Here is a 25,656-nt window from a genome sequence, read left to right as displayed (position 1 = left end):
ATCTTGTATTTCTAGAACCAGAGAATGCTATGCCAAAAAAATAAATTTCTTCTGATAATTTCAACCTTTTCAATATTGAAATACTGTATTCCTGAGTTTTTCTTAAATGGTTTATTCATGCACCTTTCTTTTCTTTTTTTTAGAGACAGGGTCTCACTCTGTTGTCTAGGTTAGAGTATGATACAATCATAGCTCACTGCAGCCTCAAACTCCTGGGCTGAAGTGATCCCCCTGCCTCAGCCTTCCAAAGCACTAGGATTACATATGTAAGCCACCATGCCTGGTGTAGACCTTTCTTCTTAAACACAGCATATGAAATGCAATTTTTTCTTCTTTTCCATTATTACCATTAAATATTTACCAAGTTCCTATCATGTATTGTATAGTTTTCTAGGAACAAATGGTATAGAGTATCAGGTGAACTGAGGGCTAACTACAAGTAGATTACTTGTAATTTCAAGTGCAAAAACCTTTACTGTGTCAGTTGCTAGGATACTGAGAGGATAATTAAATGGTCCCTGTCCTCTAGAAGCTCCCACTATAACAGAAATAGATTTGTCAACAAATAAATTATAATATGCTAGGAAGAATTCAAAAATAGAAATATCTACCACACATAATCAAAGAAAGGGTGATTACACATAAAAGTATCAGAGAAAACTTCATATAGGAGCTAAAATTTAAGCTGGGTCATGAGGTATGGTTTGAAGTTTGCCAGGTAAAGATGGGAAAAGGTTACTCCAGAGTTGGGAGGAAGCATGCACAAAGGTAGTTAAAGTGATAGCATTATTTAGCCCAGATTTCATTACGATTAAGAGATTATAGAAAACAAAGTTGAGGTGTGCTGTGAAACATACTTTTTATGTAATACTTAAGAGTTTGGACTTTATACTATTATCACCAAGGAGCAGAGAAGCCTCATATTCGCTTTCGTATTTCAGAAAAATAACACTGGTGGCAATGTGAAGGATAGACTGGGACAAGGAAGGACTGGCAGCAAGGCAAGTTAGGAGGCTACTGCAAGCTTCAGAAGAGAATCAATAAAGCTACAAAGTGAGGAATGGTAGTTGCCTAACCTCCAAGGCAGCATGATTAGAATTCTGTGTAAAATAATTCCTAAAATAGTTCTTTCTCCTAAAATAATTCCTAAAATATAAGGGTTATCCTTATATATTGATAGCTGCTGACTCATCAGTACCAATGAGATCATGATCCTTAATTTCAAATTAAGAACATGATCTTCAATTTCATTTATAGTAGTTATGGCTCATTTAAATCCTAAATAATGAGCCATAGCTACTAATTTATTTATTTTGCCACGTCCATTGCTAAAGTAGCTACTAGATGTTATTTCCTATTTGCACAACAGTAGGTTTGTTACTGGGATATGGAAAACAGGGAACTTGCAATTTAGAAAAACGCAATTTGGCCTTGTTTTTATTTTATTTTTACTCACCACTATACTAAAGGTGATGGGCTTGTTTTAAAGAGAAAGTGTACTCCAAAAGATTCCAAAATTCTGCAACATTTGGATAAGGATGAAACTAAAACCTGACACCAGGTCACTTTTTCTATAAGCTTTCTTTAGTATTTTGACCAAAAGAAAAGACATATGTAAAGCCTATACCACAAATCAACTTTATAAAATAACTTCTCATATTCTGCATAACACTGAGTGAATCATTTAGACAACAGTGGACAGAAAAAGGGAGCTGAAAATAGTAACAGACATTACCTCTGCTTCCTTAGAATGAGTTCTACAATTACCTTGCAAAAGCACACAATTTTGCTATCCTCAGGCAGGCTTATAATTTTTTTAAAAGATCTTCAAATAAAGGTCATTTATTTTAGTATTTGTTCCAGTATTTCCAGAGTATTTTTGGGGAAAAAAGTTCTAGTGGAAGAAAAATAGTTTTCATAATTACTTACATTGGGGTTCAAATCCTTCACTTGTTAGATGTTATTATATTACAGTCATCCCTTGGTATCCGCCAGGGATTGGTTCCAGGATACCCCAAGGATACCAAAATCCAAAATCCAAGGATGCTAATCATCTCTAGATTATAATATCTAACATAATGTAAATGATATATAAATATTGTTATATTATTTTTAAAATTTATACTATTTCATTGTTGGGTTATTTTTTGTTTTTTCCCCAAATGTTTTCAATCCATCAGTCCATGGTTGGTCGATCTATAGATGTGGAACCCCCAGACACAGAGGGCCAACAGTACTTAATTTCTTGGAATCTTAGTTTCCTCACTTACAACATGTTTATAATAAAGACAGACGAAATTTTGTAAGGGCTACTAGTATATGTGTAAGGCAACTGCACATGAAAACCTAACACTATTTGGCTTAGAAAACATACTCTATCCTATGTAATATACCAAATAAGTGTTTTGGAAATAAATACCATTGTTCTTCATAGCTTAACCACACTACTACACCCTACTACATGGATTCTAGAAGTTTATTAGTGACATAAATATGAAGTTAATGGCATCTTTTATAGGCACAACAAAAGAAACAAACGTATTAGAAGGTATTTGCATAATCAGACCATTTTGAGCCTGGTATGTTTTCCCCAGTAATTGGAGCATCCTTAGATGCCTTAACAACAAGGACAGTTTCTCCATCCTTTGCTGCATACATACTTTCTAATACTATCTCTCTCCTTCCACTCCCAATTCCTAATAAAAATCTCTGATTCACATTAAAAACTTATTCTGGCAAGTCTCCCTCTTCCACCTCTACTGCTTTCTATGTTAGTGACAAGTGCTATTCATATAAAATATACAAAGGCAAGAAACATAAAGTTAAAAGGAAACAGTATGTACTATTCTTCATACTCAATACATCATACATAAAATACGGAGTTTCATAAGTAAAACAAAATACTGCATACTGTATGTCTATTATTTTTAATGGTGTGCCTGTGTTACCAGTCTATGACTGGACTATCAATACTTACCCTCACAGAGGAAATAAACAAATGAAATAACATATGTAAAAAAACTATTACAAAAAGAGTTGATCCTCATTGTTCATATCACATACAGCAGGTCCTCAACTAATGTAATTTCTTTTTTTGTTTGTTTTTTTGAGACGAAGTCTTGCTCTGTTGTCAGGCTGGAGTGCAGTGTCGCGATCTCAACTCACTGCAACCTCCGCCTTCTGGGTTCAAGAAATCCCCTGCCTCAGCCTCCCAAGTAGCTGGGACTACAGGTGCACACCACCAAGCCTGGCTAATTTTTTGTATTTTAGCACAGATGAGGTTTCACTATGTTGGCCGGGATGGTCTCTATCTCCTGACCTCGTGATCCACCCGCCTCGGCCTCCCAAAGTGCTGGGATTACAGGCGTAAGCCACCACACCCGGCCTGTAATTTCATTATAACATTGATGAAAAACAATTATTTACAACCAGGGCCACTGTCTGTGTGAATTTTGCATGTCCTCCACATATCTGCATGAGTTTTCTCTGGGTATTCTGGTTTCTTCTCAATTCCCAAAGATGCACGTTAGGTGAATTGGTACAGCTAAATGGTCCCAGTATGCGTGTGTGTGCCGTGTGAGTGCGCCCTGTGATGAAAAGGCATCCTGTCCAGGGTTGGCTCCCACTTTGCTCCCTGAGCTGCTGGGATAGGCTCCAGCTACCCAAGACACTGAACTGAAATAAGCAGGTTGAAAAACGAATGAATACAAATTACTGTAAAACGAAAATTTGTAAAGTATATAATAATCATACAAATGCACAATAAATGATGCAGTATGAAAGCACTCAGCAAGCCCACTTTATTTCTTATTTTTTGTTTTTGAACTGCATGGTGGTAGGAGGTGCTCCTTAAAATTTTCACTTCCCAACAGTTATTCCTTGATTTAACCCACTAGCACTACAACTGCTGTCACTCACTGATTCGCCAAATATTGGGTAAATAATTTTTACTTTTTTTTTTTTTTTTTGAGACAGGGTCTCATTCTGTCACCCAGGCTGGAATGCAGTGGTACCATCACGGCTCACCGCAGCACCGACTGTGGGATTGTTTAATGCAGGGTTTATCAATAACAACCCCATAAACATTTGGGGCTGGATAATATATATATTTTTTTTGAGATAGGATTTTGCTCTGTTGCCCAGACTGGAGTGCAGTAGCGTGATCATGGCTCACTGCAGCCTCGACCTCCCAGGCTCAAGGGATCCTCCCACATCAGGCTCCCGAGTAGCTGGGACTACAGGTGCAAGCCACCACCTCTGGCTAATTTTTGAATTTTTCTGTAGAGACGGGTTTCACCATATTACCCAGGCTGGTTCCGAACTCCTGAGGTCAAGCCATCTGCCCACCTCGACTTCCCAGTGTTGAGATTACAGGCGTAAGCCACCATGTCCAGCCAATTCTTACTTGTTTTTATCCTTTTTAAATGTATATAAAGCTCATATTAATCTCAATGTTTAATTTTAGAAGTGTTTTGGGTCTTTATTAGAAATTTGGTAGTGTTTTTGTAACCAGAAATATATGCCATAGGGACTTAACTCTTATTTATATCAGTTCACCTATGGTAAAATTGATTTCATTATATGTTGTTTTTCTTAAACTCGCAGTTTCCCAGAACCTATCAACAACATTGAGGACTTATTGTATTATAAATTATCTTTATATGAATATAAAGACTTTCCCTATTTCAATTGCGAATATACAGATCTGTGCACTCAAAAATAACAAGCCTATTAGGACTCAAACAGTTATTTGTATACCCACGTTCACAGAAGCATTATTCACAATAGCCAAAAAGCAGAAGCAACCCAGTGTCCATTAATGGATGAACTGATAAACAAAATACGGTATTTACATACTACGGCATATTTGGCCTTTAAGAGGAAAGAAATTCTAATACATGCTACAACATGAATGAACTTTGAAGACATTATGGTAAATGAAATAAGAATGAATCCATTTAGATATCCAGAGTAGTCAATTCATAGAGACTGAATGCTGGTTACCAGAGGCTGAGGAGAGAGGAGGTAATGGGTGGTTATTGTTTAATGAATACATAATTTCAGTTTGGGAAGATGAAGAGTTCTGTAGACGGATGGTGGTGGTGGTTGCACAATAGTATGAATATACTTAATGCCACAGAATTGAACACTTAAAACTGGTTAAAGTGGTGAATTTTACGATATGCATATTTAATCACAATAAAAAATGCTTATTAAAAGATGTACTAGTTATGAAATAGCATACCTCATCTGTTTCAAACTGGGTGTGGCTAACAATGAGGTAGAAAAGCAGCAAGCAGGTACAGAGATTTATAATGGCTGCTCTAGGTCCTATCGGGTAAAGGGATCAGCAGATGTGAAGTCAAGAGTCTCCTGTAAGATTTGACTTTCTTGGAAACATATTTTAATCCTGGGCCTCCTCTTTCCAAATCACCTATTTCTTTTAGTCTTTTTGCAGTGATACTGTGTGTTGCTTCTAACAGAGGTTCAGTTTCACAGCCTTTCCCTCAAGTGTCTTATCCTAAAAGTAAAACCTAGATGATCTAAGGTGGTGGTTTTCAACAGGGTGCAATTTTGCCTCCTATACTCGCAACACCCAGGGACAGTTGGCTATGTCTGGAGACATTTTTGGGTTGTCACAACTGGAAGTAGGGTGGGGAGTGGTGCTAATGACATCAAGTGGGCATAAGCCAATTATGCTGCTAGAAATCCTACAATGCACAGGATAGGCTCCCACAAACAAAGACTTAACCAACCCCAAATACTAACAATGCTTGGTTTGAGAAACCCTGTTCTAAGGTTTTTCTAAGTTGCTTGATTTATGGTAGAAACTGATCATAAGTTAAAAGTTTCCTCCTTTTGGATTGCTTGAGCCCAGGAGTTTGAGGCTATGGTGCATTATGATTATGCCTGTGAATAGTCACTGTAATCTAGCCACTGCAATCTATATTAAGAAACATAGGCCGGGCGCAGTGGCTCACGCCTGTAATCCCAGCACTTTGGGAGGCCAAGGCGGGTGGATCACGAGGTCAGGAGATCGAGACCATCCTGGCTAACACGGTGAAACCCTGTCTCTACTAAAAAAAAACAAAAAAAATTAGCTGGGCGTGCTAGCGGGCACCTGTAGTCCCAGCTACTCAGGAGGCTGAGGCAGGAGAATGGCGTGAACCCGGGAGGCGGAGCTTGCAGTGAGCCGAGATCGCGCCACTGCATTCCAGCCTGGGTGACAGAGCAAGACTCTGTCTCAAAAAAAAAAAAAAAAAAAAGAAAGAAAAGAAAAGAAAAAAGAAAAAGGAAACATAGTGAGACCCTGTTTCTTTAAAAAAAAAAAAAAAGTTTCTTCCTCTTATTCCTTACTTTCTCTTCTCATTTATTTTGAGGAAATAGGATAAGAACCAGTGGTAATACTTTAGGTGAAAGGAGGCTACTTATGTTATCATTCTCTTCACCCTGGCCGATCCTAACCATGACACTTTATATCCTGGGGGATGGTGAAAAACAGAGGAGGTGGGGTAGGACTTGTGGTCAAATTGTTGGGGACAGAGGCAAAAAAGAAAACAGCAACAAAAAAATACAAATGAAGAAATTGGAAGGCAGTGCCTATGCCATCTGAATTGGATAATTCTTCCTAATGGCCATTTGGATATAGATGAGTTGGACAGACATAATTTAGAAACCTATATAAGGAAATATCATGCATTTTAATGAGGTTATAACCCAAAATTTAAAATTCAATTAAAAAATTAAATCACAGATTTTCCCACAACATACTAATTCAACATACTACTTACGATTACTTAAAATTTGCATTTTTTCTAAGGAGCAATAACCTAATGAGTATGTAATACTAATGTGTCAGTTAATAAGGGCAATTACTTTTGCTCTTATTTTCCTGTTATATGAAATTAACAACATACCTGCTGCAATATAACTCATTTGGTACAATTTAGGTGTTTCGAGAAATTCAACCCACTAAGATCATTAGCGTAATTCATTTTTATGCTACACATTAAAATGGTGCCTTCTTACAGTCACTTTGGAAAACTGTTTGACAGTAAATACTAAAACTGAAAATATACACACCCTACAACCTGGCAATTCCATTCTTAGGTTTATACTCAATGGAAATGTATACACTCACCAAAAGACATGTATAAGAATGTTCTACACAGTACTATTCATAATAGCTCAGAATTGAAAAATTCTCAAAAGACTATTAATGGGAGAATGAATAACTTTTGGATGTAATGAAAAATGGATAAACAAACGGAAGACTATACAGCAATGAGAATGAATGAACTACAAATACATGCAACAATAAGAATGGATCTCACTTTGGCAGGTTGAATAACGGCCTCCAAAGATAGCCAGCGTATGAATCCCTGGAACCTGTGAATGTCACTTATATGGCAAAAGAGATTCTGCAGATGTGATTAAATTAAGGATCTTGAGATAGGGGGATTATCCCTGCTTTATGCAGGTGAGCCCTAAACTTAGAGGCAGGGAAAGATCTGACTACAGAAGAGAAGATGATATAATGACAAAAGCAAGCTTTGATCATAGAGAGGAAGGGGTCACAAGCCCATAAATACAGGCCGTCACTGGAAGCCAAAAAAGGGAAGAAAACATTCTCCCTCACAACCTCAATAAAGAGCCAACCCTGCTGATACTTTGATTTAGGCCTAATGAAACTGATTTTTGGACTTCTGATCTCCAGGACTATAAAAGAATAAATCTGTGTTGTTTTAAGTCACTAAGTTTGTGGTAGTTTGTTACAGTGGCAACAAGAAACTAAAATATTCACAAAAATGATGAATGAAAAAAAGTGTATTATGTATGATTACATTTACATAAAATAAAAAACAGGCAAAACTAATCTATGATTTTAGAAGTCAGGATAGTAACTTTCAGCAAGAAAGAAGACAGTGTTAAGATGGGGAAAGAGGAGGGCTTCTGGGGTACACATAATGCTCTGTGTTTTGATCTGAAGACTAGTATGTGAGTTTGTTTAATTTGTGAAAACCTTTATTTGTGTACTGTTTTGTGTGTGTGTGGTATATGCAGTTTTAAAAACTGATGCCTTTTAAACACTTACTAATCTGATAATCTGCCGAAAAAGAATATATAACATATATTCAAGGGGATGGAAAAATACTTACTGAACAATAATTTTATTTCTCAAGAACGCTGAAGATTTTGTTTCTCTCTTCAAAAGATTTAAAAAATTTTAACTGGCAAAACATAATAGTGACTCTTAAATGCTAAAAAAAAAAAAAAAAAAAAAAAAAAAAGAAAAAACCTAAAAATAAAATATTGCATAAGTAAGCTTTGTTATGCCTCGATCTTAGGACTGTAAATTATAAAAATACAAGTAAAACCACATTTTTTGAAATAACAGTAAACAAAAACAAAAGGCAGGTACTACATACCAAATGACCAAAATGTCTTTTGGGCCTAAGATTCTTGAAAATAGTAAAAATGGTAATAATAGAAATCTCTCTATAGAACATTAAATATAAAAACCATTTATAAAACACATCACAATTTTATTGCTTGAAGAATACAGCATATGAAATCACAAGAATGTCAAAATGAAAAGTCACTAGGCTTCAAACGTATAATACATTATCAGATGCAGTAAAATATTAACCTGAACTCTGCATCAGAAAAAAAAAAAAAGGTGTGGAAAATATCTAAGTTGTTTACTTAAGAAACAGATATACTTAAAATAGAAAGTATAAGGATGTTACAGTACAAATTAGAAAAGCCAACACGTATTAACTTATCGTTCTAGACTAGACTACCTTTGGTACTTAAACTTTTTAAAAAACAATTTCTTCTATCTCATCCAAATGCACTTCATGGGTATGACATCCATGAAGTAACTTCAACTTAAAACATTCAGCAAAATTAACCTTTTCACTTCATGGGGGAAGTATATTTAATAAATGTATAACAATATTTCCCTTTTACTAAAACTGCAAAATATGATCATTAAGAAACCTAACAGTTATAAAACTTTACTTACTTAGCTCTCCAATTAAAATTGGAATCCTGGGAGCCACAATCTATTTTTGGGCTTGGTGAATACATAAGTTTAAAAGATTTGGCAACTGACATAGGAATTTAATTACTTAATACTATCTTAAGTGACTTTTCCTTTCTGTTTCCAAAATATAGACATTATGCCATTTCTTCAACATCCTGGATTCCTATAAACACTACCATACTGTATTTATTAGAACCAAATTAAAGCTTCTCTAACAAGCAGGTAGAAACTATTTATGTTCCATATACGGCTGATAAGTTATAACACAACTTATGTTTCATATAGGGCTGATCAGTTAATTCATATAGGGCTGATCAGTTGTAACATAACTTCTTAAGCAAAACTAATCTTTTTTTTAAAGCTATCACTCAATTATGGAGACAATAATGTCATCTCAAAAGGTAATGTTGGACTCTAGGCCATCTAGTTGGGAAAATGTAAAAGTAATTCTAAAAACAATAAGTAAACTATAACTACAAGTTAAATTAAAAATCCCTCTCTCATAGCAAGCATGCTCATTAACTTTCATTTCTTTCCCCCAGCAAAGGTTTGAATATTCATAAACCTCAGTTAAACCAAGAGAACCAATGTAATTGTTTCAAAAGTACCACCTATATATTTGAATAATATGAGTATGGATGGACTAGGTAAGTAATACTATCAACAATTACTGAATTGGAGTGAAAGAGTAAAAATCATGACAGACTTCCAAACTGGGCAGTCTTTGAAATGTCATAGTGGAGCTCAAAATGAATTATGCTGTAATAAAACTATAGTTTTTACCTCTACACAAAACAGAAACAAAATAAAAAAACATAACCACCAAATTTATACAAATACTATTAAACATACTCCTTCCTAGTTTTTGAATGTCTTGAAGTTTTTCTAAACAAGTATATTGATCTGAGCATATATATTTATTGCCTATATATGTACTCATTTTAAAAGACAAATTCAGATACTACAGAACTGAACTCTTTCACCAACCCAATCCAATGTCTACTGATTCACACAGCACCCCCCCCTTAATAATTTAAAATTCACAAGTTTTAGTTTAGTTAAAAGGGCAGAGGAAATGCAAATGCAGATTTAGAGCTTTGTAGAAATTTCACTGTATTTTTATAAACTTGAAGTTATCTGTAACACTGTTTATTGATCAAACGAAGGACTCGCTGCTATCTAAAATTTCATAAACACCATTAAAAATTCAAAATTGATATTATACTGAACCTTAAATTTTCAATAGTTCAAAGAGACAGTTTTTACATGTATAGCACACAATAGATGAAACTTAATAGCAGACATCCCTAGAATACCAATGACAAGTCCACCAAGATGCATACAAAATTACAGATAAGCATTTCTTTCACTGTTTTTGTTGTGCAGGGAAAAACATTTATAGAAGAAATAGAAACTCAGCTGGTGAATTTCAGATATCATCATCATCTTCTTCATCCTGAGAAGATCCCGCCTGATTAGATGCACTGGCTGAGGCAGCAGCAAGCTGGGCTTGTTGGGCAGCTTGCTGCATTTGAAGCCATTCCTGTTGGGCCAATTCTGCTTGTTGCTGTCTAGCCTAAACACCCAAAACATAAAAAAAAATAACAATTTTTTACAAACCCACAATATATACACTTTGGTTAAATGTAGATTAGGCCAATTTCAGACAGTTTATTATCATACTTGGATACTGTCCAAGTACTATGTAATTGTCACACATCTGGAGAACATAAACTCTATAGGTAAATATAATTAGAGATTGCTTTTTTCTAACTACACAGGTCTAAGAAATTTCTCAAACTTGGATCTCTTATAAATGGCCCTGTTTTATTTCACGTAATTTATGACCTTTGATTCAACTGAAGAAGTTGAAAAAGTGGAACCAATATTGTGAAAAACCCACAATATTCCCTCTGGCTCTTTCCCTCTTCTTTTCCTTTCATTTCACTTGACTCTTCTGTACCCTCATATTACAACTTTGATACAAACATTTTTCAATCTAAAATTTATTTATATGGTTTAAAAGTTCTCTAGTATAGTACCTCTACCTCATAGGAAAGAAGTACTGTACATGTATGCAGTAGCTACCCCATTATTTCTTTCTGAGTTTCTATTACAATTCCCTAACCTACTATATGCCTATCTCTCTGTGTCCCTCATTCCCTCTCTGTAAGTACACACATTTGCATATACACACATACAAATATACATATCCTTCCCGTATACACACTAGTAAAAAGATACTACTTAAAATCCATTCATCTGATATATCCTCTATTAAAAACAACCACAGGATTTAAGAAACCAGGATGCATACATTATTAATTACCTATGAAACAGCTAAGGCTCCTTCACAATTTAATTTCATCTGTTTGCAGAAAAACCACACCAAGAAGGGAAAAAATGAACCTGTTCTTAAAAAGGTCTTACAATTTCCCATTAGACTCTGCCAAAACAATCCTTTTCTCCTTCTCTGTCTGTTCTTGGAATTGTTCTTTAAGTCCAACTCAGACCCTCCCCTTTATGCATAGCTAATTCCTAGTCATCATCTGAAATGCAAATCAGCTAGTCTTTCTTGACCTTTCCAAGCCATATTTTATGCTCTATTTAATATACCATAATTCCCTATGCATTCCCATATCCATCCACTTTGTTCTAGAATTATCTAAGTTTATATCCTTTTTTTCCACCACACTTGAGAATAGAGATTGTTTCCATATTCTTTGTTGCATTCCTAACATAAAGGCCCTCAGTATTTTCTGAATGAACATGCTACAGGAAAACAGTGATGCCCAGCATAACCAGTAACATTTAAGATTTTACCATGTACAATCCTCACTCTTCTGAATAATCTGTCATGACTTTATTATCCAAACATTTCTAGATATAAATTCTAATCAGGTCACTATTTCATTTTTTTAAAAAAAATCATTTGTTATCAATCAAATCCAAATTTCCTAGCCTAGAGTTCAAGGTCTTCCAAATTAGTGTCTACCCCAACCTCTCTATAGTCTTTTTTTGTAACATGTACTTTGTGCTTCAAAAAAGCCTAGAACACAAAATGTTTCCCAAATATACACCATACTTCCTCATCTTTGCTACCTTTACTCATGCTGACACTCATCCTATGTGAAATTTCCTGCCACTTACTGAAATTCTACCCTTCCTTCAAGTCAAACTGAAATACTATTTTCTCCTCCTGGCATCAGTCAGTGTATAATCAAGAGATAGATGTCACATGAGTTACTGGAATGGAAAAAATTTAATACGAAGAATTGTTAAACAAGTATAAAGTTGTTATTAGGGAGCTGAAAAGGCAGGAAGAGAACATGAAGATGTCATGAAAGTAGCAGCTACAGGAAGCAGCCACCAACCCTAAAACTGAGGGAATAAAGGAAAATGCTGGAATTTTTAAAATTTAGAAGCTTAAGAAACCACTTCATGGAACTGAAACTCAGGCCTCGGAAGAATGGGCATAGATAAGCTAGTACTAATATATCTGCGCTTGGAGGAGGGCCCCAAGGGTTGGGATCCACACTGCCAGAGTGGGGGGATGGGGTGCGGGTTCAGGCTGGTGGTGTATTAGAGAAAATGCAAACCGCGTTCAGTCTCTGCTACAGGAAAACTGATGCAACCAGGGTGAAGAAGTGTTGCTGGGTTGTTCAAAGGAACTGAAAGACAAGAGAAAGTAAGAGAAAACCCTTTCTCTTCCTCCATCCATGCAATCTCCCACGATAGCCCCATATGGCAACAGAGTCTAATGGAGAGTCAGCTAGCAAAGAAACATGTGGCTTGCAGAGTACTAGGTCCAGTCACAAAGCAGAGCATAGAAAGGTGGGTCTGGAGCTAAGATAATTGCTTACTAGTTGGCATACTCCTGTACCCCTAAAATTTGATGTAATGTTTCCATACTTGGGATTTCTTTCTCTTTCCTTCTTCCCTCTTTCTTTCTATTTTTGTAGAGAGAGGGTCTCACTATATTGCCCAGGTTGGTCTCAAACTCCTGGGCTCAAGTGATTCTCCCACCTGGGCCTCCTAAAGTGCTATGATTACAGGTGTGAGCCACTATGCCCAGCCAGAATCTCTTTCTCATAAGTGGTCAGCCTCATATTATAGTTATCTTCCTCATCCAAGTAGTCAGTCTCATAATGATATATTCTTCATTTTTTTTTATATCTATAGTACCACATATGTCTTACATACAGTAGGGACATGTTAATTGAATTCTGACTTGAAATTTGTTGACTGAAGGGCAGGAGTAGGGTGGTGCTGGTGTAGGTGGCAGTAGTGAAGTGGAAGAAGAAAAGCTATTACCTTGGGGGAAAGCTATCCAAGTAACCATAGTATCAGAGACTAATAAAGGAAGAGGTCTACATTAAATGTTATTTTTAAAAAAACAGATGAGTAAGAATTGAAAGGAAAAAAAATTACTGAATTTGGTGATTAAATGCCTCTGTGGTAGGACAGAAGTTAAATTTGAGGAATAAGTGATTGTACATTTTCAAAAAATGGTAGCACTGATCATTATTTATTTATTTATTTATTTATTTTAGAGATGGGGTCTTGCTATGTTGTCCAGACTAAAGTGCAGTGGCTATTTACAGGCATAGTTGTTATGCACTGCAACCTTGAACTCCTAGCCTCAAGGGATTGTCCTGCCTCCATCTCCCGAGTAACTGGGACTACAGGAAGGTGCCACCTTGCTTGGTGGGTAACACAGATCATTATAGCAAAAGATGAAAGGGTTTGGGGGATACAAGGAAATGCAGAAGACCCGTATATGGTTAAAGGCAAAGAGGAAGAAATAAGTAAGGAAAAGACTATAGATATTAGAAAAAACAAGGATAAGACAACTTTTACAGTAAACAAAAACTTCATTTTGCTTAGGAAATTAGAAACCATCCATTCTCCCTAATAATGACTGTCATCCATTTTTGTAAAGAAATAGGAAAAATAGTTGATTCTAACACAATAGCATATTTACTTTTACGGCAGGAATATCCAGAGTTCAAAACCAACTAACAGAGCTTCGCTAAAAACATTTTAAGGCCGGGCGCGGTGGCTCATGCCTGTAATCCCAGCACTGTGGGAGGCCAAGGTGGGCGGATCGCCTGAGGTTGGGAGTTTGAGACTAGCCTGGCCAGCAGGATGCAACCCTGTTTCTACTAAAAATACAAAAATTAGCCAGGCATGGTGGTGCATGCCTGTAATCCCAGCTACTTGGGAAGCTGAGGCAGGAGAATCGCTTGAACCCGGGAGGCGGAGGTTGCAATGAGCCGAGATAGCACCACTGCACTCCAGCCTGGGCAACAGAGCAAGACTCCATCTCAAAAAAAAAAAAAAAATTGTAAGAGTTCATAAGAAAATTGCAGGGCAAATCAAATACATAAATTCAACCAACATAAGCATACCTATATTTTGTGGTCTAATCAACTACAAGTTGGTATAATTTTGTGACATGGAAAAAATTCAAATAATTTCAAGTCTCTACAAAGGTTTTACTGCAAAGGTGCTTGATTTGGTAGTCTATTCAATGGTCTGCAAAGCTGTGTACTAGTTACATTTCAAATTTAATTGACTTTTAGCTACCACGGCCCTGTATCAGCGCTGATACTTTTCTCTGAACATAAAAACATTTCTATGCCTTTAAAACTAACTGTTGAGCTGGGCTCACTAGTGCACATCTATAGTCCCAGCTACTCATGAGGCTGAAGCAGGAGGATCCCTTGAGCCCAGGAGTTCTAGGCTGAAGTGTGCCTGATCGAGCCTGTCAATAGCCACTGTGCTCCAGCCTGGGCAACATGGTGAGATCCTGTCTCTTTAAAAAAAAAAAAAAGTTGATTGATAAAATTTTATTTGTATTCATTTCCACAAATTGAACATTTTTCAGTGATATTTACTGTAATATATTTTTTTCTCTCTTGCCCCCTACTCAATCCATCCCAAGTATTTTTCTTCTAAAATTGGGGTGTGAAAGACAGGTAAGCAGGCATGTATTTCCTAATTCACTTTTCTTTTGGAGGTTTTCATTATGTTTTAAGATTCTCACTCCCACATATTAAAATGACTCATTTATAATTTAAAGTTAACTTTAATCTTGATGTATTAAAGGTTCCCTCCTTCCAAATATTTGCTGCTAGCTTCAAATGAGGCTGTCATTGTGTTAATATTTAAAGTCTAAAAAATGAAACAAAATGAAAGTGATAAAAAAGATATATTTACTTATCCACTCTTTCATATTTAGAACTTCAGTGCTCTAGGGAAGAAGTACTAGGCAACTGCTATAATATTACCTCTCCGCTGGTCATCCTCACAATAGTAAAGAAATACTAGAGATCTTCATACATAAGTCAGGGTAAGAAACAAGGGAGACAAAAAAGAGGAATAAAAAAACAGATAATAGGGATAGAAAGGTGAAGACAGATATAGCAGGCAGTCAATTATTTCTTTATATTTTGCCCTGGCAAGGATAATACATATTCTATTTAAAAGCCCCATAATAAGTTTAAGCATATAAAATGGAGGCTAGAGCATCAGCATGGTATGTTAGAAACAGTACAGGCTTTTGGGTCAAAATACCTAAGTTTAAATATAGACTCCAACACTTCCTAACTTTCTGAACTTACTGTTTTATTTAAGTCAATCTTTCCCACTCAATCTTCCCCAGTAGATTAAGCTCTATAATGACAGGAACCCTGTCTCCTTGTTCACTCTTGTAAGCCTAGCACCTAGCATGATGCTTGGTAAATAGTAATGACTTCAGTAAGTAACTGTAGAACAAATGACAAACAATTTCAAGGAAGTTTTTCCGCCTCTGAGTCTATTTTTTAATATGTAAATGAATACAATAAAATTTATATTTCATAAAAACTCTGCCAAGTTTTTATGTATTTAAAGTATCCAGGAGAAAATCTTCTGTCACTAAATGTTCAATTTAGCATTCTCTAGGTGGTCTGCAATATCAATAAATAGCCATTAATGTTTTTAAAACATCAACACCTCTTCTTTTGTACCTCATATTCATATGAATTATAACATTGCATGTACTAACGCCTGCTTCAAAGGCTTTTCCTCTTTAGTGCCTATGATAGGTTGTTGGGAGGATTAAATGAGATAATGCAGGAAAATTACTTGGCAATGTGATTAACACGTGGTTAGAACTCAATAAATGTAAGTTTTTCTTTTTATCTTGTTTAAATGGTACTTGGTGTCTAGTGACCAACAATACTTAAGACTAAAATGCAGTTTGATGTAAACCAAACTGATTGTTATGGCTGCAGAGAGATCAGCTACAGGACTAACCTGGAAGAGTTTACCTAAAATGATACTTCCCAGTTCTAATGGTTACTACGGCTTCTCTTCTATTCAATCCAAAGCTGCCTTATAATTTCAAATGAGAGGCCAGAACTTAGAAGGGAAAACACAGCATTGCCACCAATTCCCCTCCCTTCTCTTTTTGAAACAGAGAACATTAGTATTTGGTTCTAATCCTTCAGAGTCTAGATATTAGAATTATTACAAGCAAGGAAGAAGACATTTTCTCCCTTTGCTCTACTAGCTTTAAAATATTTTTTAAGATTAAAATGCTTCAAAGGTGTATATTAAAGACCTAATTTAACTACACAGTTGATATTAATCAGATTTTGCTGGTATGTCATGCATCATAAAATTTGATATAGTATTTTCTCATCAGCTCATCATTTTAAATCTTAAGAATATTTAGGTATACTTTTCATGCCTTAAAATGGTCATTCTGTCTGAAAAAATATCAAGTGAAATTTCAATAGGTATTTGGAGTTGTTCTCTTTAGAACAGATTGCTGCAAATATTTACTTTCACATAAACCAGAGTCAAATTGGTCAGCTCTGAACACCAGAATCTATAATCAACTACCTAGAAAAAGGGAATCCTCTGGGTATGTCTGTTAATTTAGGAAGCAATTTCAGTTAGCAAACAGGGTAGGATTCAGAGGAAAATAATTTAAATAAATTACTTACTTTTGCAAATAATTCTTGTTGCTGTCTCAATAACTCTTCTTCAGGAATGCCAAGGTTTTCCAAACGAGAACTGGCCTTTCTTCTTTTTAATGCTACTGTTTTACACTCTTGCAAGACTTCTTTTACTTCACTGATGTAAGAGCCAAATCCCAAACTTTCTAGTGCTAGAGAAATGAAAATATTAAAATATGAAAGGGTGATAAAACACAGCTTTCCCCCAACCCGTAGACCTAAAGTTTTTGTGGGCTTTTCTTTGGGGGAGGGGAATGTTTTGCTGTTTTCTAATAATTTTACCTATTTTATAGTTGTACAACAACTGTCTGGGCAGCCAAGACAAATATTTTATCAATCTGCTAAATATTAGGTGGCAAATCAGTTAAAACTTGAAGAACCAAGGCACATGCCTTCACTTTTCATTCTGACTAATTTTTAAAAGACCAAAGCATTTCCTGTAAGCAGGGAAGAAAAAAAAGCCCATTATAAGAACATATGGTTTTAGTAAGAAAAAACATTTTGTGTCATTTGACTTAGAAAAAGTAGGCTGGTAACACATTCTCTACTAAGTTCTGGTAGGACAGAATAAAAGAACAGAAGTTTTTCTTTTGTCCAATATACCAACAGGAAGCTATTTTTAGCAGATACTCAAACTGCCAAGTTTAAAAAATACTGGTGGAAATAAAAGTCATGAAATTCAGCACTTATAGTCAGCCAACAGGTTTCTCTTGAAAATAAAACTTAACAGGAAAAATAAAAACATATTTAAATGATGTGGCAAAAAAAACGTAGCTGAAAGACTATAAAGATACAAGAAGCACTAATAAAAATGTTTCTCCCCTTTTCGTATTTAGAAAGGAAATTTTATAAGGAAAAAAAAATGGGCTAGGCATGGTAGTTCATGCCTGTAATTCCAGTACTTTGGGAGGCCAAGGTGGGAGGATCCCTTTAGTCCAGGAGTTCAAGACCACCGCGGGCAACATGGCAAGACCTCGTCTCTACAAAAAGTAAAAAAATTAGTCGAGTGTGATGGGTCGTGCCTATGGTTCTAGCTACTCAGGAGGCTGAGGTGAGAGGATTGCTTAAGTCCAGGAGATTGAGGATGTCACGAGCCATGACTGCGTTACTGTACTCCAGCCTGGATGACAGAGCAAGACCCTGTTTCAAAAAAAAAAAAAAAAAAAAATTCACACACCCTAAATACCTTCTGTAATCCAGAAAAGACAAGGCATAAAATTTCCTTTTGGGTCATAGTATTTAAAATTATATTTTATAGTTTTGGTATATTGACTAATGCCCCAAAGGCATATTTTGTATTGTGAACCAATGATGAAACATAGGTGGCAAAAAACAGTAAATCAATTTAAGTCATCAGTTCTTGAAGTCTTTCAATCATTATGTTGAACCAGACTCCTTTTAGTATACATGCTCTCACTTCTAACTTCAGGGATTTGCTCTTCTGGGAGAATGCCAAAAACACCTTTACAAATCTACATGCCCATGCAAACTGTGGTTTTTAGACATTTTGAATGATTTACAACTTTAAGTATTTCAAATGTTAAGCTGTTTTCATCAACCTTCTTTAGAAATAATCTGATGCCAAAAAGCATAGTACTGTCCTATTATTAAGTTAACTCACTTCCCCTGACCTCCCTAAAAACTTCAGAAAGGCATTATTCTAAGTTCTGTATATCAAATTCACCAACATGGCCAGGCACGGTGGCTCACGCCTATAATCCCAGCACTTTGGGAGACCAAGGCAGGCAGATCATGAGGTCAGGAAATCGAGACCATCCTGGCTAACAGGGTGAAACCCTGTCTCTACTAAAAATACAAAAAAAATTGGCCGGCGTGGTGGCAGGCGCCTGTAGTCCCAGCTACACGGGAGGCTGAGGCAGGAAGATCGCTTGTGCCCAGGAGTTTGAGGCCACAGTAAACTATGACTGTGGCACTGCACTCCAACCTGGGTGAGAAAGCAAGACCCTGCCTCTTAAAAATTAAAAATGAAGCAATAAATATCATATTGTTATTAGTTTTAGGGTTGTAGGAATCAACAGGTAATTAATATAAGGCGTTTGACAGTGTCTAGCACCTAAGAATCACTTAACCAACTCAGACTATGTATTTCTCATCTGTATTTTTTATTTTAAATTTAAAAGAGTACCCTCATAAGTGTACAGGACCTAAATAAATGTATAGCTATACAATATCATATTTAAATACAAGCTGGACAAGCATATTTATAAAATATCAAATTTATAAAATTAACAAATCAACACAATGGAGAGACAACCCTTCAAAATACCATAGTTACTATACTAGACATTAAGGATATCCAAGCCAGCCGACCATGGTGGCTCATGCCTGTAATCCCAGCACTCTGGGAGGCCAAGGCACGGGGATTACTTGAAGTCAGGAGTTAGAGACAAGCCTGGCCCACATGGCAACACATTGTCTCTACAAAAAACAGAAAAATTAGCCAGGCGTGGTGGCACACGCCTGTAATCCCAGCTACTCAGGAGGCTAAGGCATGAGAATTGCTTGAACCCGGGAGGCAGAGCTTGTAGAGAGCCGAGGTCACACCACTGCACTCCAGCCTGACAGCGTGACTCTGTCTCAAAAAAAAAAAAAAAAAAAAAAAGAAAGAAAATCCAATCCAAGCTATTTTTAACCATGGAGGGCTTGGATTAAGAATTTTTTTTAAATATATAACTACCTTTAAAAACATTTAAGGCTGAGAACACTGCTTTCAAGTAGGTCCAAGGTTAATATTTAATATTATTCAAAGAGTTGCCATACGTAAAAACTATACTCTCAACAAAATGGTTGAAAAGGAGCAGCCATAAATTTAATTTCAAAAATTTCATTGACTTTAATTTTAAACACATTGGGCTAACAGATATCAATAACTGGACATAATACCTTCTAAATAGAGAGATATTTTACATTATTTGCTATCATGTATTAGTTATCATTCCCATTTTACACAAAGAGAATATTAAAGGATAAAGGAAATGGCTCCCAAGCAGGGCCACCATTTACATACAGTTAGGTAGGTTGTTCAGTACACAACATACTAGAGGGCCATTCTTATTGTAAATACCATAAATTCGTATGTTTACTGTGATACTTTTTCTGGCAGACAGTAGTAATGCTTTTTAAGGAAGGAGTGCCTTTTTCTAATTTGTACAGAGACCTTATGGACTATTCATGGCCCTATTTCTAAGGATCTCATCTTTCCAAAACAGAAAAATATTTTTTTAAAAATTTGTGAGTAAAATTAACACACATCACTATCTGTCACCCTATGCCGTGTATCTCAAAACTACAACCAGAAAAGTCCATGGTGTACATTAGGGGAAAAAATACTTTGCACATTTTTCAGCTTAAAAGACAGATGTTAACAAGACAGCTATTAAAAAAACAAAAAAGAAGTAAAAATTTCTTTGAAGCAACAATAATCTTCATATAGGCTTATCTTATTTTACAAAGTGATGTACTCCTGAAAGGTTCTGTCATAACATGAATTTATGTGACTCACTTTATACTTCATATGCATAAAACATGTTTTTCATTTGTAAAATTACGTGATATACAGTACCTTTTAAATACTATATAAATCAGCATTCTCTAATTTCTCCATTTTCTTTTGTTTGTGGGAAGGAAGCAACTAATGTATTTCACATAAAATACATTAAGAGGATGTAGGCCAAAGTGACTTCTTGGCTCATTAGCCTGGCAAAGGTTTCTGAAACCCCTTAAGAACCATGTCCTCCATGGTATCACTACTGGAAATCTTGGACAACAATGAGAGACTAATGGCAGAGAAGGAATTGAGTATCATTTATCTTAATATCCTTAGTAGTACCTAGCATGATGCCAAATAATTGGTAGTATTCAATAAGTAATTGTGGGGTGGCAGAAGGAAAACAGAAATAAAAGATATATTAATTTAAAGAAAAGTATTAATAAAATCCTAACTTGAAAAGCATTTGATTATGTGATAAATTTTGCAGTGCAAATTAGATGTGTCCCTTCGGAAAAAATATCTGTATAAACGATTATTTACTACTTACGTCCACTTTCCAACAGAGACTGGTTTAGGCTTTAGAGCAAAGGTTCTCAAACTGTGGTCCATGGACTTATGCCAAAACTGCTCCTAATGGTTAACATTAGTTAAGTATGGAAATTCAAAGCATTTAAGTACCTTCATTGCAATTTGACAAAATAATTTTATGTCTATTGAATCAAATAGTAAAAAATTGAGTGTTGGTCTTTCCCTCATCTTTTCCAGTGATCTATTTTCATGTTATCTTACAAAGCTACTAGTGTGAGAAGGACAGGAATTTTTTAAAAATTCCTTCAACGTAAGACAGCTTGGAGCAACTCAACAGCTGAAGACGCAAATTCTCAGATACTCTTTCAAACTTTTACTACTTTCAGTTACAATTCTCATAAATGTGAGGGGAGATATTTCATGTAAGGTTCTCAACCCCTGACTAATTCTCAAAAATTACAAGTAATACCTGAAATCAAGTATTATTTGTACACAAATAAGAAAACCTTAGTTAAAAGATTTCCCTAAGGTTAAAGAATTCTCAGTGCGGAACTTACAGCTGACTCTCAATGTCAATTCTTTCTATAAGGCAACAGAACATGTTAGAACTCATTCAAGAATACGTGTTCACAAAAAACTGCAACAAAATAGGAACACCTTTTATAGCTTAGAACTCCCTCTATTCATGTATCTATGGTCTTCAATACCAAGTCTACTTTCTTAAACTCAAAATAAGCAAAACAGAAAAAAAAATTTTTTTAAATAAGTTATTTCATAGATATACTGGTGATAAAATTAGTTCAACTTTAACTTGCATTTTACAGAACTATCTCAGAATGCTTAATTTGCTCAGACAAGATAAAGCAAGGTGAGAAATGAACAAGTGAAATGTCCTGAAGCAAAGTCTAATTCATTAAACTTATCACTAAAAACCCAAACTTCAACATGTGAGAATCATATCACTTTAAAATGTACATTACTTATTCCATTTGGATATATTCTACATTCCTAATCAATGCTGACAGAAAAGTATAAAAATGTCCTATTATGATTAGTGTATAGGCACACACTTCAAACACCTAAAACATATAAACCTTAAGAATTTCTTTAAAAATGTAATCTCTCAAAACAAAACTTCTTTGGAATAATTAAGCAATATGAGATTATAAATGTATAAAGTCTACAACCCCAACTAGGGAGAATTCTTGGGCGAAAATGTAGATTCTTAACCACTTTTAAGAATAGCATAATACAAGAAAAAAAGGTAAATTTTTAAATTTAAGGTAACACGTCAATACATGATTTTTAAAAACAAATCATCTTCATTACACAATGGAAATGCTTTTTCACTATAGCTTTCTGACTCACACATTAAACTGAATTTAGCATATTCCAAAGTTGAATTATTTAGCATACTGCTTGCTACAGCTGCACTTCTATTCCATCATGTCAATCAGAAATCTAAATATATCCTAGAAAAGAATCAACTCTCCCCAAGAAGACAGACTGTAATGTGTTATTAGGTTTTTGGAACGATCCCCACTTCTGTAGTGTAAACAAATGTTTAGGCAGACCCTGCTGAAATCTTTTGCAATTTTCATTAGAAAGGCAATGTTGATAAAGGTTCTTTTTCCTTTTTAAGAGTTGTAAAAAGAAATTATAGCTATCTGTGCTGGATAATCTTGTGAAAGACTTATGACAGCAATCACACATACAATGTAAAAATAAATACACAAGGGAAAAAATAGACAACTTGGCTTTCATTTTACTTGCTAGAGTATTCAGCACACCAAACAAGTAGAAAAAAAAAAAACTAGTACTAGTTTTAAGAATCAAATATGCTTTTTCCTAGGGATTTTTCTGCTTGTGTACTGAAATGGCAGGATATATTTTAAAACTACTTTCAAGACGTCATAAAGGATTAAAAATGAATCATTTAATCCTTTTGTCAATACTGAGAGTAAAATATTGGATATGGTCAATATAAGCAGATGTGTTCTCTACTTCAGTACAACAGGAAAGTCACATTTTAAAAAGTTAAATTATAAAAATTAAGTGATAGACAACCACCTGCCTATCAAAATGATTAAAATTAATCATTTTTCCCTGATTTCACAAGCAATCAATAACTTTAATTAGATTATTACAAAAGGCAAGTTCTCACCTCAAATTGAGTACAACTCTTTCACAAGAGTACATGTAAAAATATCGCAAAAGGTACGTTCCCGAAACATTATGAATAGTAAATATGTTTCTCCTCTCTGAAACCACCAGAATACAGTCCCCCAAATCCCTATTACGGGACCAAATCCTTTCCAGGATAAAAGAAACTGTTGAAGTTTTCAGAAGTGCTGTTCCATAAAAGCCTAAGTGTATACATTCAAATAGGAATGACAGCAGGAAAGGACGGGGAAATTTTCCGTTAAAAAAAAAACTTGCATAAACTTTCAATCAAAGATTTCAAAACTTATCTCCACAGAATAGAACAAAGCAAACGACATAAAAGCAAACGAAAAGAAAAAAACGAAAATTTAAAGTTCACCCTATTCTTACAGAATGGAACAGGAGTTATTTGGTAACTCATTCATGAACGTACCATCAAACCATTTTTAGAGCAGAAAACATACACCTTTTATTTAACAACGATAAACTTGACAACGTTGAACACATTGTATGTTAAGAATTTTTTAACTCATGTGTTCAGAAAATAAATCTTTTCCTCTACATTGGTGAAAGGTCAGGTGGGGAAGGGGGTGCTCTGTCTCCACCCACGTTGAAGTTCCTCCGTCTGAATTTTAACTTTCCAAAGGAGAATTTCTGCGTTCCTTAATTATTATCTAAGTTCAACTTCAGGCAAGTAATTCTTGTTGCTTCGGCTTACCTGGCTGTAAAGTGAGATCACTCTTATTCTTTACGTTTTGGGGACGCTGACCTAAATGTTTGCACTCCTTACATGTATTCGCTGGATGAAAAGTACTGCAAAAATGCTACAAAGGGATTGTTTTTAAAGCACCGGCTGCCTACATGCCAGTCTGGCTTTTTCATTAAGTTACTTACCAGGGAAGAGGAATGGAGGCTTTGACACGAAAGGGTCACGCGATTAGCAGACTGCTACCCTAGAACCTCATTCAAACCAGCTCTCACACACGACTTACCTTGTATGACATGCTCTGGTGAGATGGTCTTCTTTTCCGATTTGTTACAAATCTCATTGGCTTCAGAAGATATAAGGTGAATGAATTCAGTGCAGCAGTTCACCACCAGCTCTCGAGCATCGTTGGCCACCCGGACATTAGGAAGAGTCTCTTTGATCATTTTATTGATAGCAGCTCTGGGGATAGTGAGATCATCATCGTTGCCAGACGAGGAAGCCATAGTACCTTCCTGTTTCTCGCGCCCCGGCTTTTAAAAACTCCCCAGCTCTGGTCCACTACTCCACCGAGATTTCTCAAAAAGTCGCCCTCGGAGAGTGATCCCGGGGGGTGCTTTGCGAAGAGGGTGCAGAAAATGAACGGAGGAGCAGCTGGCTTGAGGGCTGGGAACACTCGCGTGTGTGAGAGATTTAGGATGAGTTTGGGAAGAAAGTGGGGGCCCGAGGATTCTAGAGAGAGCACAGCCCAGGCTGAGGAGGGGAAAGCGCGGTGGTCCGGAAATTTGAGCGGCTGGGGAACCACCTTCGTGTCTCCTCAGAGGGGCGGGCGCTGTCGCCTAACTGGTCCCCAACGGCGTCGGAGCAGAGGCAAGATCCAGGGGCACTGGCCTCGCCGCGGTACCGGGCGGGTACCCAGCGGGCTCGGCTCTATAGAGCCCGAGGCCCCGCTGCCGCTGCCGCCGCCGCCAGCAGCCGTTGCCGCCGCCTCGGCCAAACCATCCTTCAGACACCCGCGCCGCCGCCTCACAACATGTCCGCCGCTGCCGCTGCCGCTGCCGCTGCTGGAACGGCGACGGCCGCCTGGGAACTAATATGGACAGAGCCAGGCACAGTGGGAGTCGCAGTGGCTGCCGCCGTGGCCGCGTAGCCCGAACGCAGATCGTGGAAGCCGAAGACGCGGCAACGGTGGTCCCTCCAGATGCCAGGGAAGGTTTGCAGGAAGCCGCTCCCGACACCCTTTGCGCCACCGGAAGCCTCGTTCCCTCAGATTTCCCCCTCCCTCCCGGACCGACTTCCGGGTGTGGCTGCCGCCCTTCCCCCACCCACGCCGGCGGGAGCCGCCCGTTCGCGCTGCCAGCAGCTTCCGCCTGCTACGGTCCTGGCAAGCACCTCGGGATCCCATTCCTTCACAGGGACCCTAGCCAGGCAAGCGCGCGCCTCACTGTACCGGAGAGCTCCAAGCACGCGCTTGGTCTGGGGCCCGGACGCTACATCTGGGAAGGGGTGGGTGGCTGGGTAGATAGGCGAGGAAGGATCGTCTCTACCCTCTCTCAAGTAGCTGAGGCCTCCGAAACCTTCCCTAGCTGGATTTGGGGACAGAGGAGCGCTGGTATTGATAAAATAACTCTCTTTGCTATTCCTTTAGGAGCCCAAATGAGGATTGAAAGTGAGAAGAATGGGACCTGGG

General features: G+C 36.8%; 1 protein-coding gene and 1 long non-coding RNA gene across 2 annotated transcripts in view, besides 3 other annotated features; one reads left to right on the top strand and one right to left on the bottom strand.

Moving 5' to 3' along the window:
- Window positions 1-1,624: 1,624 nt before the first annotated feature.
- DR1 (down-regulator of transcription 1) lies at window positions 1,625-25,211 on the bottom strand. Its single transcript, NM_001938.3, has 3 exons — window positions 24,253-25,211; window positions 17,047-17,210; window positions 1,625-10,625 (listed from the first exon to the last, which is right to left on the bottom strand). The coding sequence occupies exons 1-3, from the start codon at window positions 24,470-24,472 to the stop codon at window positions 10,479-10,481; spliced, it is 531 nt and encodes a 176-aa protein (NP_001929.1). The 5' UTR covers window positions 24,473-25,211; the 3' UTR covers window positions 1,625-10,478.
- Window positions 24,372-24,581: an enhancer, noted in NCBI's record as "active region_1331". NCBI's record gives its function as "activates an Ori minimal core promoter by ATAC-STARR-seq in GM12878 lymphoblastoid cells {active_cell/tissue: GM12878}" and the evidence as "EXISTENCE:reporter gene assay evidence [ECO:0000049][PMID:35858748]".
- Window positions 24,642-24,711: an enhancer, noted in NCBI's record as "active region_1330". NCBI's record gives its function as "activates an Ori minimal core promoter by ATAC-STARR-seq in GM12878 lymphoblastoid cells {active_cell/tissue: GM12878}" and the evidence as "EXISTENCE:reporter gene assay evidence [ECO:0000049][PMID:35858748]".
- Window positions 25,081-25,616: an enhancer, noted in NCBI's record as "H3K27ac hESC enhancer chr1:93811059-93811594 (GRCh37/hg19 assembly coordinates)". NCBI's record gives its function as "activates a minimal SCP1, AML or CMV promoter by ChIP-STARR-seq in primed H9 embryonic stem cells {active_cell/tissue: H9 hESC(primed)}" and the evidence as "EXISTENCE:reporter gene assay evidence [ECO:0000049][PMID:30033119]".
- CCDC18-AS1 (CCDC18 antisense RNA 1) overlaps window positions 25,307-25,656 on the top strand; it is a 35,703-nt gene continuing 35,353 nt past the window's right edge. Inside the window, exon 1 of the long non-coding RNA NR_034089.1 lies at window positions 25,307-25,394. This is a non-coding gene — a long non-coding RNA (CCDC18 antisense RNA 1). The remainder of the gene's footprint in view (window positions 25,395-25,656) is intronic.

This window comes from Homo sapiens, chromosome 1, assembly GCF_000001405.40.
Source record: "Homo sapiens chromosome 1, GRCh38.p14 Primary Assembly".
NCBI classification, from domain to species: Eukaryota; Metazoa; Chordata; class Mammalia; order Primates; family Hominidae; genus Homo; species Homo sapiens.
The sequence above is the reverse complement of the archived record's forward strand: the minus strand, read 5'-3'. Positions and strand labels throughout refer to the sequence as shown.

Bases quoted from the DNA above. Each gene is read 5' to 3' on its own strand.
- DR1 (NM_001938.3), bottom strand. From the start codon at position 24,472: ATGGCTTCCTCGTCTGGCAACGATGATGATCTCACTATCCCCAGAGCT. The intron at 17,211-24,252 runs GTAAGTCGTGTG...TCATTTCTCTAG, and splicing joins ACCAGAGCATGTCATACAAG to CACTAGAAAGTTTGGGATTT. The intron at 10,626-17,046 runs GTAAGTAATTTA...TTGGGTGTTTAG, and splicing joins AACAAGAATTATTTGCAAAA to GCTAGACAGCAACAAGCAGA.